The sequence below is a fragment of the Homo sapiens genome, chromosome 1 (genome assembly GCF_000001405.40).
Source record: "Homo sapiens chromosome 1, GRCh38.p14 Primary Assembly".
Lineage (NCBI taxonomy): Eukaryota > Metazoa > Chordata > Mammalia > Primates > Hominidae > Homo > Homo sapiens.
The window spans coordinates 194,223,344-194,236,559 of record NC_000001.11 but is presented as its reverse complement, the minus strand read 5'-3'; the positions used below and the strand labels follow the sequence as shown (position 1 = coordinate 194,236,559).

The 13,216-nt window shown below is 33.6% G+C and overlaps 1 long non-coding RNA gene across 4 annotated transcripts in view; it reads left to right on the top strand.

The window, feature by feature from the left end:
• LOC107985242 (uncharacterized) overlaps positions 1-13,216 on the top strand; it is a 199,987-nt gene that overhangs the window by 121,281 nt on the left and 65,490 nt on the right. Inside the window, exon 2 of one of the 4 annotated variants that reach the window (XR_001738353.2) lies at positions 4,333-4,424. The exons of 2 other annotated variants lie outside the window; for them this stretch is intronic. This is a non-coding gene — a long non-coding RNA (uncharacterized LOC107985242). Of the gene's footprint in view, positions 1-3,798; positions 4,425-13,216 lie in introns of those variants that run through there. One more of the 4 variants, XR_001738352.2, reaches the window with a different exon arrangement.

Below are 13,216 nucleotides of genomic sequence, written 5' to 3'. Positions count from 1 at the left end.
AAAGGAAACTATATAACTAGAGTTATAGAATGCTTACATATAAGGTATTGGCCAATGGCTGTAAGCAAGAGTGTCACAGAAGGACTCCTCTGAAAATTAGTGCCTAGATTTTAAGGCTTCTTACAGAATTAAAAGGAAATGTTACTGAGAAGTTTTTTGGTACGTTTGAAGATAATTCTCTGAAGACTATTTTAGAATCTTCCCCAAAAGATATTCCCAGAACTAAAAATGATGGAATAGACTTCCTTTTGTTGAATTGTGGCTAATAAGTTTATTTCTCTAAATTGAGCAGGGTAAGCATTATAGTTTTGTTTTTCTTTAAAAATGTTCAAGATAAGGAAACTTTGAATATAAATAGTAAGTTGTTAATAAATATTTGTACAGATGTTTTAATACATTTATTTTTAAAACCGCGAACTATAAATTATACATAATTATAAGTTTTGTTCATTTGTCTGTATTCTTGGGCATTTTTTCTGAAGTATGTAGGCTGTTGCTTTATATCAATTGATGAGGATATTTACGGCAAACAGGTCTGTGTTTTAACAGCTTTCAGTTCCAGCACTAGAACAGTGTATTTTAGTACCTTATTGCCTTCTATAAAAATATACTTATGATTAAAAACTTAGAATGTGTTTTCAGTAAGCTTTCTGTGTATATTTGAAATTTTAATAATAGAAATAATAACATAAACCTTTGAAATATCATGTGGAAAATATTAAGCATTAAATAAAGATAAAATTCACTTCAATATGAGGATTTTTTCCTTTCCTTATAACAATAGTTTCAAATCAAATTTAATACATGTTTTTATACTGCTGATATTTTTAAATAAATATATTAGAACAAATAATTAAGTATAAAAATATATGCAGATATGAAAAATAAAATCATTTATAGTCCTAGGGTGCCAAATCATAGGAATTCCCAAATGCCAACTCAATGCTGTTTCTTCATGAAGTATTACTTTATATGACTATTTGATCACTATTTACTCATTAATTTATAAATTCCTTCATCAATTTTTCATTGAACTCTCAAAAGCCAAATAGATATTAGACAATATTCTAGACACTGTGACTACAAACATGAATAAAGCATAGTTTATCATGATGCTTACTGTCTAGCAAACAGTCTTCACATAGTAGATTTAACGTGAATTATTAGTCAGTCACTGGTATTCTCCACTGATACACTGACTCATATACCATACATCCCCTAATTTTGCTTTTTGTATCCACATAGCATTTTACTGGATATATATCATAGAGTAATATATAAAGAATACATTGGATATTGACTTTTAGCCAAGAGATGTGAAGGACAATCCAGGTTCACAAACAATTTAAACTGATGAATACATATTTTTCCTATATAAAAACAACAGATATTTTAATAATTATATAAATCCCTCAAAAAAGAATTTTATCATTTACTACCTAAATTAGTTTTACAATTTAAATAAAGAAACATACTTAGATTCATTTCTGTGATGTAATATTTCAAACATTATTACACAATGAAATAGTGAGATAAATTAGTAGAGCACATAATAATTTGGTAATAAATGCCTAATGAAAAATAGTGTGTCATATAAAAACTGACCAGAGCCATTCGTTATTTAAATGATAAACTTAAAACAGTTGAAAAATGAGATTGCTTCTTGATAATCAACATTAATTGGACTTATTATAGTACACTTATATTTGAAAAGCATATATTTTATTTATCATTTTTAGCTTATAATTTTACTTCTTTTGTAAATGAAATAACATTCAAATAGAAGGTTCAAGAAAGAGTATATATTACTTTCTTAAGTAAAAATAACATTATCTGGTTAAGTATGTATGATCTATGTATCTTGCTATATTTTATACATTTTTAGAAAATGATACACAAAATTATTAGCAATAATTCCCTCTAGGGAGAAAAACTGGGATAAGGTAGGATGTTGTTATTTTTTAAAAATAATTTTTAAGTTATTAAGGTATGAAAACATATTTTTACTGGAAGCCTGATAAGGTTGATTAATGCTTTAAGGAATTACAACTATTCCTTGTCCTCCAGACAGCATTAAACTTTAGTACGTATGCTATTGTACATGTAGTCTTAGAGATCCCTATTTCATTAGCTATTTTAACTCATTTCTAAAAATTATGATTAACACACATTAGAATAAATAACAATTCCCTTACGACTTATTTTTTTCTTGGTAAAGCTTTAAAATACCTGAAGTTCTGATTTTTTTTTTTTTGTATACAGTGCTACGTAGGAAATATGTTTTTAAGTCCCTTTTTACTTTAATTAGATGATTCACTAACTTGTTTGAAAAGTAACTATTGAGTATCTAATATGAGCTAGGGAAGTTTTTATTATCTGAAATTTTAGACTCGATACTTTATTGAGACTGAATATTATCATTTAAAACATTAATTATTTCTTTTGTTTTTAAGTCTTATTTGGATCCTAATTTCATCAATATATTCTTGCCTCTTTTGTGTCTTCAGAATCTTTCCTCCTTTGATTCCTCTTTACATAGTAAATCTCCCTTATCATCTCATCTTGATTGCTCCCTGACTCCCTCATTGGTACTTTGCAATCTAGTTAAGCAGTGAAACTCCTCCTATATAACAAACATTTGCTGTCCCATATTTTCCAGCTCCTTTTCAGTTAATCAGAGCTTGCAAGTGGGTTCTACACAATAGGCTGTGTACAAAAGTGACATGTGTCATTTCTGGACCAATGCATAGAAAAAGCAGCAAAGAAATCTGCAACTGATCTTTCTCTCTGCCAACAATGTTACCACTTCATGAGATACAGGCTATATCAGACATGAAAATGACTAGGTGGATCAGAGCCCACCATTCCAAGTTGCAACCCTAACACGTGCTAAACATATACAGACCCAAACAAATCTTTGTTGTATTAAGCTGTTGAGATAGCGTGGCTAATTTTTTAATTCAGCATAATTTGATTCATCCTGACTAATAAACCAATGACACATTTTTTTTTTGCTTTATCCAGAGCTCTTCTTTCTTTTTAATTTTCTGATTTTAGTAAAATCCCAGTTTTGTTACTCATTTAGCCTAGGAAAGATACTTAATATCTCTGTTTCTTAGCCTCCTCTATAAACTGGTAATATTAATCACTGAATCATAACTTACTGTAAAAAAGAGAAAACTGAAATAAATGTTATTTTTAAAATTTTTATTCCCTTGAATAACTTGGCTTCTATACTGTTTAAATCATTTAGTTGACCTAACCTTTATATTTGTTCTGTTTCCTTGAGTGACTCACATGTCCCTACTCAGCCACTTAAAATAAACAGCACCAAAGCACTCCACTCGAAATCTGTTTGCTTATTACATGTATTTTTTCCTAAATGATCTTTTTTTCAGAACATCAACTAATATTTTATCATCTAATCTCACATTTATCCACCTCCCGTCTGAATTCCATATATCCTTGTATAACTTCCCACTGGACATCTCATGTCTTTCACAAGCTGAGCATATCCAAACATCTATACTCCACTCTGTCTCCGTAGGCCATGTGTTCCTTCATGGTCCTTGTCAGCATACCTCTTCTCAGTTTAATTATTTAAAATATTATCTTCAAGCAACAGGTTATAAATTATTAAATTATATTGCTGCTATTTTATAATCATTTTCTTATTTCTCTCTATATTCACTACATTGGTCCAAGCTGTCTCTCTCTTTATCTCTCTCTCTCTTTCTGTCTCTGTATCGCTCTCTCTTTCTGTGTATGTGTGTATGTATGTATATGTATATATGTATGTATTTATATATGTATACATGTATACACACAGGTACATACACACACACACACAGAGTACCTAGTATATAATACCTCTTAAAATCTTTCTCAATATCAAAATCCTATTCCCAAACTCTTGTCTGCCTATTCTGTGTTCTCTCCAAACAGTTCTATTCTCCATTCCATAAACAGGAAATTCTAGCCAAAAATGTATGAGAATAAGATTGTAGAACTTTGATTTTTCTCAATTTCCTCCCTCCAACTATATTTAAGTGTAAGTAACCTGTCTATTGGCACTAAACTATAGAAAGATTATTTAATCAGATAGCACGGGATTGTTCCATAATCTCCTACAAAATTTGATTCCTGCATTATAGCATTATCACAGTGTGTCTTACATTTCAGTAATTAAAATGTTTTTAGTTTCTCTATTGATATGTGGCTCATAGAAAACAGCAAGAAATATCTTAATTACAGTTGACTGTTGAACAACATGGGTTTGAATTGTATGGGTCCACTTATACATGAATTTTCTTCACTTCTGCCACCCCTGAGGCAACAAGACCAACCCTTCCTCATTCTCCTCCTTCTCAACATGAAGACAAGGATGAGCACCTTGATGATGATCCATCTCCACTTAATGAAGAGTAAATATATTTCCCCTTCCTTATGATTTTCTTAATGACATTTTCTTTTCTGTAGATCACTTTATCATATGAATACAGTATATAGTCCATATAGCATACAAAATACATGTTAATATTGTTCGTGTTATCAGTAAGGCTGACATGAATCAATACGGTTTATGTTATCAGTATTGTGTTAATATTGTTTATCTTATCAGTAGGATAACATAAGTAAGTTATTAAGTTATAACATAAATAAGGCTATTAGTAGTTATGTTTCTGGAGAGTCAAATGTTATTAATATATATGATTTTCAGCTTCACATGAGGTTCAGTGCCCCTAACATCCATGTTGTTCAGGGGCCAATTGTATATTCTATTTTTCAGAATTCCTAGAACACAGTGGAGATAAGCAGTAATGTCATAAAATTTGAGATAATATATTTATCAGATTATTTGTAGAAGTTAAAATACAGCAATTATGAAAATTATGACAGTTGGGCCTATAATCTATATTTTGTAATTTATAGATTTCATTCATGAATTATGCATGGTACAAATGCATTGATTCATTTTAATAACCCTCATTTATGGAAATGAAACAGATAATGCTGATTTTGAAAACAAGTTATATTAGAGCACTATGAAAGAGAAAAGTAATTAATTTTAATATTAGAAAATCTTTCTCATTTTATTAATATATTTTTGTATATCTACTATTTTGCCACAGCATATGCTATGCCTAAAAGACGGCAAGATATAAATGAAAAATTCAAATCACTATGAGAGACCATTACACACCCACCCACTAGAATGGATAAAATGAAAATGACTGATGATACCAAGTGTTATGATGATTCTGTTCAGAGTGTGCCTATAAGCATCTAACATGAAGAATTGTTTTACTGATAAACTCTAGTTACAACTGTAGAATTACCACAGTTCCTGAATATGCAGATAGAACTCAGTGTCCATATTTCGTATGTGTTTGGCATTCTTTGCTACTCTCCTTTTTCATATTTATTGTGTGTAAAATATTATTCCACAACATGTTAGAAAAAATATTAACAATAATCAGCTGATAATGATGGCAGTGGCTGTTGCCATCATGCCAGCTGCAGCAGGTAGTCATGGCTGGGGATTGCCACTCCATGGAGCAGGTGGGAACCCCGCCCCTTCTGAGTTGGGGTGGGAGCTCCCTGGGTGCTGATGCAGCCACCCAGTTGCCCAATCTGTGGCTGCAGACCCAAACCCTTTGCTCTAGGGAGCAGGCAGGAGTCCCACCCTCCTGGGCTGGCCCACAGTTTGTGGATCTGAGCCTGCCTATGCTCTTGGCAGGTGACTGGGAACAGGCAGGATCTACCCTCCCAGGTACAGCTGCTGCTGCCCTCCCAGGTACAGGACACGGTGTCTTTGTAGCCTGCACCCTTGGGGCCTGGGAAGCCCTCCTCCCCTACCTTGCAGGCTTGGGGGTGTCTCCTCCTGCTGCCTGGCCTCTCTTCCCTCCTAGCCTGCCCCAATCTCAGATTGGGGGTTGGGGCTGAGCCCCGGGAACCATGAATGGCAGTGGGAGTTAAATTGATTCCTGGGCAGAAGGGGTTGGGTCTCCAGTAAGGCCCCACCTCAAGCCAGGGAGGGCCTGAAGGCTGGGGGCCACACTATCAGGCAGGGGACCAGAGTGGGGACTCCTGGTGCCTCTTCCACCTGCCCATGGCCGCCCATGGACCAATTGGCACTTCCTCCCCTCTGAGGTCCATAAAAGCCCTGGACTCAGCCAGAGTAGGGCAGATAATGGCCAGAGGATGAAGATGGCAGAGAAACAATTGGACACCAGCTGCAGAGAGGAATACTCACTCTGCTGAGAGCTGGAGATGTTGGGATGACCAGCTCTCAGCAGAGAGGAGCTAGCTACCTTCTCTGCTGAGAGCTGCAGAAACAACATGCCAGCAGACAGGTGCCACCCTCTCCAGACCCTCCTCTGGTGAGAATTGAAAAGCCCATGGATGGCCTGCTGCAGAGAGTAGGTACACACTGCAGGTCTCCTCTGAGCTGTTGTAACATTGTATAAAGCTCATCTTCATCCTGTTCACCCTTCACATGTCTGCGTACCTCATTCTTCTGGATGCAGGACAAGAACCCGAGAAAGGCGCCACTGGCCACCGAGGTTTCCAGAAAGAAAATTGACACCCCAAAGCTTCCGTAACAATCCTTTACCATCAATAGTTTGTAGGCACTCCTTTAGACCCACTGAAAGAACACATGTTTGGCAGGGGACTGGGAAGTAATTACTGCAGACGGAAAGGCCTGACATTTTGGGTGTCCACTGACTGGGAGTAAGTTATGATACTATACATCACTAAGAAAGAAATATAGTGTGTTGTGGTACTCTTTTAAATTCTGGAGGCATTGTATTTATTTGACCCATTTCCTGTGTTCCTAGAAAAATTGCTCCCTTTTAAAGAAATCCAAGTCGTTGACATCTTTTTAGCAAATCCAATTTTCCCAATGACTCAATCTCTCTTACTTCAGAAATGATTGTTATTAAAATGTGTATAATAGACTAGTTTAAAGCAGCATGAAATTACTGCAGATATTAACAGAAGATTAGAGTGAATAGTCCAGTTCATTTGTTTGTTAATTTTGGTGGAAGAGTATGCTCCTAGAAGTGGAAATGTATTTCTGTGATTTCCTGAAGTAGTAGGAGAAATTCAGCATCATTAAACACAAATGATAGGTAAGCAAATCACTGTAGAAATCTGAGATCACAGGTAAGGTCGATGTTCAGATTTCTCAAGTTTTTCATACAATGACATTTATTTGACTGTATCTTTTATTTTCTTAACAAATTACAATGGATAAAAATACATGATCTTGCTTTATGTGTGGTTTTACATGATATGGTGGCACATGTTGGAATTAAATTTTATGAACGAGCTGGAAGAGGCACATTCTTCCATGAGGAGAAAAGTCATGTTAGTGTAAACATTACATATTGAAGTGGTGTATACTGTCATCTACTATACTTATTCAGAGCTTGCTGATGTGATGAAAAATTCAGTTTCTTTTCAATTATTTGTTTTTGCATCACAAGCATTCTCTTGAAGGAGAGCAAAATCTCTGAACAATCACACTCTCATATTTACTATGTTGTAATCCAAATATACATCTGGGTATGAATTGTTGAAATGAGTAGCAGTCAATCACATACAATGACTCATTTTTAAAATGGGTTTTTTATGTGATTATAGTAAACAATAATATATTGTATAGTTTCAGATAGCTAGAAGGAAGATATTGAATGTTCCCAACACAAAGAAATCATAAATGTTTGAGATAATGGAGATGCTAATTATGCTGGTTGGATCACTATACATTATACATATCAAGACACCACTATGTACATCATAAATGTGTATAATTAATATGTCAGCTAAAAATAAAATAAAATAAATGGGTAACTTTATATCCAGCATCATGAACTTTGATGACCTGGAGGTTTTATGTGTGTTAGTAGGAATGCGATCAGGTGGATATTTCAGGCTTATGTCATTAGAGGAATAGTAACAAAAGAGAGCTATAACCTCCTTGGGGTCATAGGATTTATGTGCAGAGACCAGCAGGCTGTTTCCTCATTGTGCTGTAGTTTTTTATATATGAAAGTTAGAGGAAAAGTATTTCAATTATATACAAAATGCACTACTCAGAAACTATGAAGATGGAGGCTAAGTTTTTTTTTTTTCAACCAGACAAGGGGAGTTAAAATATATACAATCCTGAAAAAAGTCTAGATAAACCAAGAAATAGTAATGAAGGAGGAAAGTAACAAGATTATAAGCACTGTAAAACATTAAATTGTTAGCTTACATTTTCTACTAGTTTTATTTCTTTTACTAAGTGTAATATTTGGAAATTACAAGAAATATCTGCTGGCAGCTTTTACCTTTCCTAAGCAGTTTTCATTGTGATCCAGTTGGTTTACAAAACTGAGTTGGCAAAATAATGGAACTGAAATTAAGAAAATACTTTGACAAATGCTCACCAGCTAGTTCAGAGGTTGCCAATTGGCAAGATATACACAGCTTAATGGAATCCCATTAAAAATGGACACGTTGACATTGTTATGATTTTTGTTTGTTTTTAAAATTTCGTTTTAGGTTCAGGGGCACATGTGCAGGTTTGTTATATAGGTAAACTCATGTCACTGGGGGTTCTTGTACAGATTACTTTGTCACCCAGCTACTAAACCTAGTACCCATTAGTTAATTTTATTTGCTCTTTGTCTTCCTCCCACCCTCCACCCTAAGGTAGGCCCCTGTGTCTGTTGTTCTTCTCTTTGTGTCCAGGTGTTCTCATCATTTATCTCCCACTTATAAGTGAGGGGTTTTGTTCTTGCATTAGTTTGCTAAGGATAATAGCCTCCAGCTCCATCCAAATGAACTATAAGACCTAAAAAGTTTCAAGTAACTCTAAAATATCCAGAACTTCCTGATTCAATAGCTGAACCATGACTTCTGAGTTGCAACAGAGACAATTCCATAAACTCAAGGTAACTACATGGAAATACAATGGAGACATTATGAAAAACAGGGCCAGAATAACTCAGTCAGTATTATTTCTTTAGAATAATAATTTCAGAAAAAGGAAAATGAGTGTGATCAATCAGCTGAAAATTGCTCTTTTCCATCAGGAGGTCACTGTGTATGCTAAGTGTGAAGAATTCTTAACTGCTGCTATTCAGGTGATTCATTTTCAACCTCACATCTGTTTGTTCTGAGCTTCAATTGTTATAAATGATGTAAGTATAATGCTATCTTGGATCCTGAGTAACCTGAGGAAGTTCATGGAAATACTGATGAATAACACATGAGGAAAAAAAAATGCGGTGAAGCACTTTGTGACTTTTTCCTAACCTGTTATAATTTCCTGGAAGACAGGGATTGCACTGTTTTCTTCATTCTGAGTATATTGCCAACTGGTTTATCCTAATGATTCTATACAGTATCAAAAAAGAGAAAATACAATGAGAAATAGATAAAACATGCTTTTTCAACAGTTGTCATATTTTATTTTAAAAATCACCTTGCATATCATTACTCTTGCATGCCGCCTTCCCATGCAATATAGTCTGTGTAAAAAGATCTTGATACAGAAAACAATGCCCCAAATGACTGTAGAGCAAAGGAAAAATAGAAGAAAATAAAGAATGAAATGACTGAAATAAAATGATAGAAACAACACTCAAAAAAATGAGGGAAATTTTCATGAGAGTTAAATATGAGAAAAAATGAACAGTGGCGAAACAAGACTACACATAATTCTATGTAATATTTTGGTATTCACATATTAAATTTTAAGGTGAATATATGTTTATACACATACATATTATATACTGCCAGAGACAAAGAGAAGGAATTATTTTTAAATTGGAAATTGAAATACTTAAATCTCCTAATTTGGAATAAATCAAGATTTATTTCAGAATGAGACAAACTTCTACAACAAAGGCAGTCAACACAGATTTTGCCTCACTTGCAGATTTTCATTTCATCTACCATTTTTACTTTAAATTTTACAAAGCAAAAAGCATACATTTTCCAAGATGAGCTTGTTGCATGCCAGCTGTATATGTTTTGTATTACAGTAGATATGGAAGGATTGGGTGTCTTGGATTTAGAAAATCTTCCAGCGTGCACTCCTAATCTTAATTAGTTACCTGCTACACTTGCTTATTTCTACACTATCTCATGTCTTTTCCAGTCTGTTGCCTTATAGTGACAAGCAGTGATACTACATGCCTGCCCAGGGCTTTACTTGTCAAATTGAAGTCACAGAAAGCATAGCACCTTGTTTTGGATGGAGCTGGATAAGATAAATCTTGTTTTTCTCTTCTTTCTGTTAACAGCTAGCTTCTTTTGGGGGAAAAAAAAGCCTTTTTTTTTTTTTCAAACTGAATACATAAAATCTGTAAAGTTGCAACTACAGACAGTTAGCTTGCAAAGGCTAAAGCCAAATAAATTACTGAACTGTGGTGGTTTAACAGTATTTTAAAGACACAGGGATTCTTTTTCCCCCTTTTATTGAATTTAGGTCAAAGAAAGATAAAGTTAAACTATAGTGCTACTGGGAGAAGAAGGACTCGTGGCTGTAAGCGGTTTGTGGTTTTGTCACTATGCTAACCTTAACAATCTATGTTACAATAATAGCTTCCTCAAAATGAACATCTGTTGCTTGGTTAAGCATTATTATAATGATGAGGTAAATATATCATTCACAAGTGAAAATCCTGGTAGTATATAATACATATGTAGCTATTTCTATATTATACAATAGTATAAAATATTAATTTAATTTTGTAATACTTGCCTCTGTTATGTTTTGATATGATATATAGTGTGGAGTTTTCACTTTAGGTTTCTGTGCCCTGTGCTTAAAACTGAGATGAGAATGTTGGCAATGAGATGCATTTTATAGCTCATGTATCATATTTATGCATATTATCTTAATTGTAGCAATAAAGCTAGCCTAAGACTGTGATTGGGACTACAAATCAGAGAGATTGTCCAAGTTATCACAGTTCCAAAGTGAGAGATATTTAGCAAGAACAAGGTAGTGAAAATCTTTTCCTTCTCCACATTGTTGTCTCTAAATCAAACTCTAGTATTGTTCAGTTCATTATTAATTATTCTCATTTTTTTCTAATCTACTTTTGGAAATATATGCATTTCCAGTTGACCAGGGTGTTTAGGTGGTCTAGGTATTTAGTTGACTAGCCCAGTTGACTCGGCAGTTGCCTAGGTTATTTATCTGGGAACTACATTTTTGTGGTGTTAGAGACCACCAGTCTAGGAAGGATTTAGTTTAATAAAAGAGTTTAATTTGCATTCAAATATACATTTATACATAATTTTAATTATGGGAAGATACTACTTAATACTCACTAAGTAATAGCCATGTATTTGGCAAAGAAGTACAGCTATGAACATAAAAGGATGACTGCTGCAATCATAGAGCAATAAAGTATAGGTAAATATATATAATGAACAAAAATATTTTTTCTTGTTATTATAATAAATTGCAAGATACTATAAGAGCATAGAAAAGATGTCTGACTGTAGGATATATGTAATCCTAATATATATTATATAGTATAATATATATATATATCTGTAGAAATTGAGGCACAGTAAATTTAAGTAACTTGTTCAGGGTCTCAAATAAAGTACGTGGCACTGTTAAGTTTCAGACCCACTAAGTCTATACACTAAACTCATATGCTTCACTGTCATATTGAATTTTCTGTTTGATCTTAATATCCTTAGTGAAATAGACTATATTCGTATGTTGTATCATTCTAGAGTCTCTTGAAAAATTTTCAAACAGTAACCAATAAACATTTACGCTATTTGTTAGACTCAGAGCCCTCCTTAAAATATGCAGAAGGCAAACTTAATACATGCAAGATGATTTTACAAAATCTAGATTCAGTTGTTTTTGAAGTTGATAATATGATGCTTCCATGTTTCCTAAGGAGTCTATCATAGCAGTACTTTTTAATGTGATTACAATTAATTCATTATAATGAGCAATCCAAAATTAAGTAATTGTGCTTTCAAAGAAATAGCATTACTCAAAAATCTCTAAATTTTAGATAAGCTATGTAATCACCTATTTAAGAATCAAATAACAAGTACCATCAAAATTATCCCAATAACCCCAATAAGAATCTTGTCCTAAACACTCCACTAAAGTACAAGAATAATGGATCAGAGGGAAAAACATCTAAAAACCAAAAGAGGAAATGTGTGTAGTGTGTTCATCTTAAACTATTATATTCAAATTAATATTTATTTCTAATTCAATAAAGAGAGGCTGTCCTCACATTGTGATTTATTTTGTGTCTTTTTCCTCCCTTCGATATCCCTTCCCCCTACCATTCCCAGCCTGCGGTAATCACCATTCTACTCTCTATCTTCATGACATCCACATTTTTAGCTGCCAGATGTGAGTGAGAACATGCAATACTTACCTGTCTGTGCTTGGTTTATTTCATTTACTATAATGGACTTCAGTTCCATCCAAGTTGTGGCAGACAGGATTTCATGCTTTTTTATGGTTGAATAATATTCCATTGTGTGTATGTATGTCATATTTTCTTTATCCATTCATTCATTGATGCACACTTACTTTGATACCATATTTTTGCTACTATGCAGTGCATATATCTCTTTCATATACTGATTTCCTTTCTTTTGGATATATATACCCAGTAGTAGAATGGCTGGATCATATGATAGTTCTATTTTTAGTTTTTGAGGAACCTCCATACTGTTCCCCACAGTGACTGTATTTTAAATATATAATTTACATCCCCACCAACAGTGTACAAGGGTTCCTCATTCTCCACATCTTTGCCAGCATCTGTTACTGTCTGTAATTTTTAGACAAGCCATTTTAACTTGTATAAGATAATATCTCATTGTGGTTTGATTTGCATTTATTTGATGATTAGTGATGTTGAGCAATTCGTAATATACCTGTTGGCCATTTTTATGTCTTTTTTGAGAAATGTCTGTTCAATTATTTTGCCCATTTTGGATTCTTCTTCTTATTTTGCTATTGAATTGTTTGAGCTTATTATATATTATGGTTATTAATCTTGTCAGATGGATAGATTTCAAATATTTTCTCCCTTTCTGGGAATTGTCTCTTTATTTTATCGGTTGTTTCCTTTGCTGTACAGAAGCATTTTTAGCTTGATTTAGTCGGATTTGCCTATTTTTGCTTTGGTTGCCTGTGCTTTTGAGGTCTTACTCA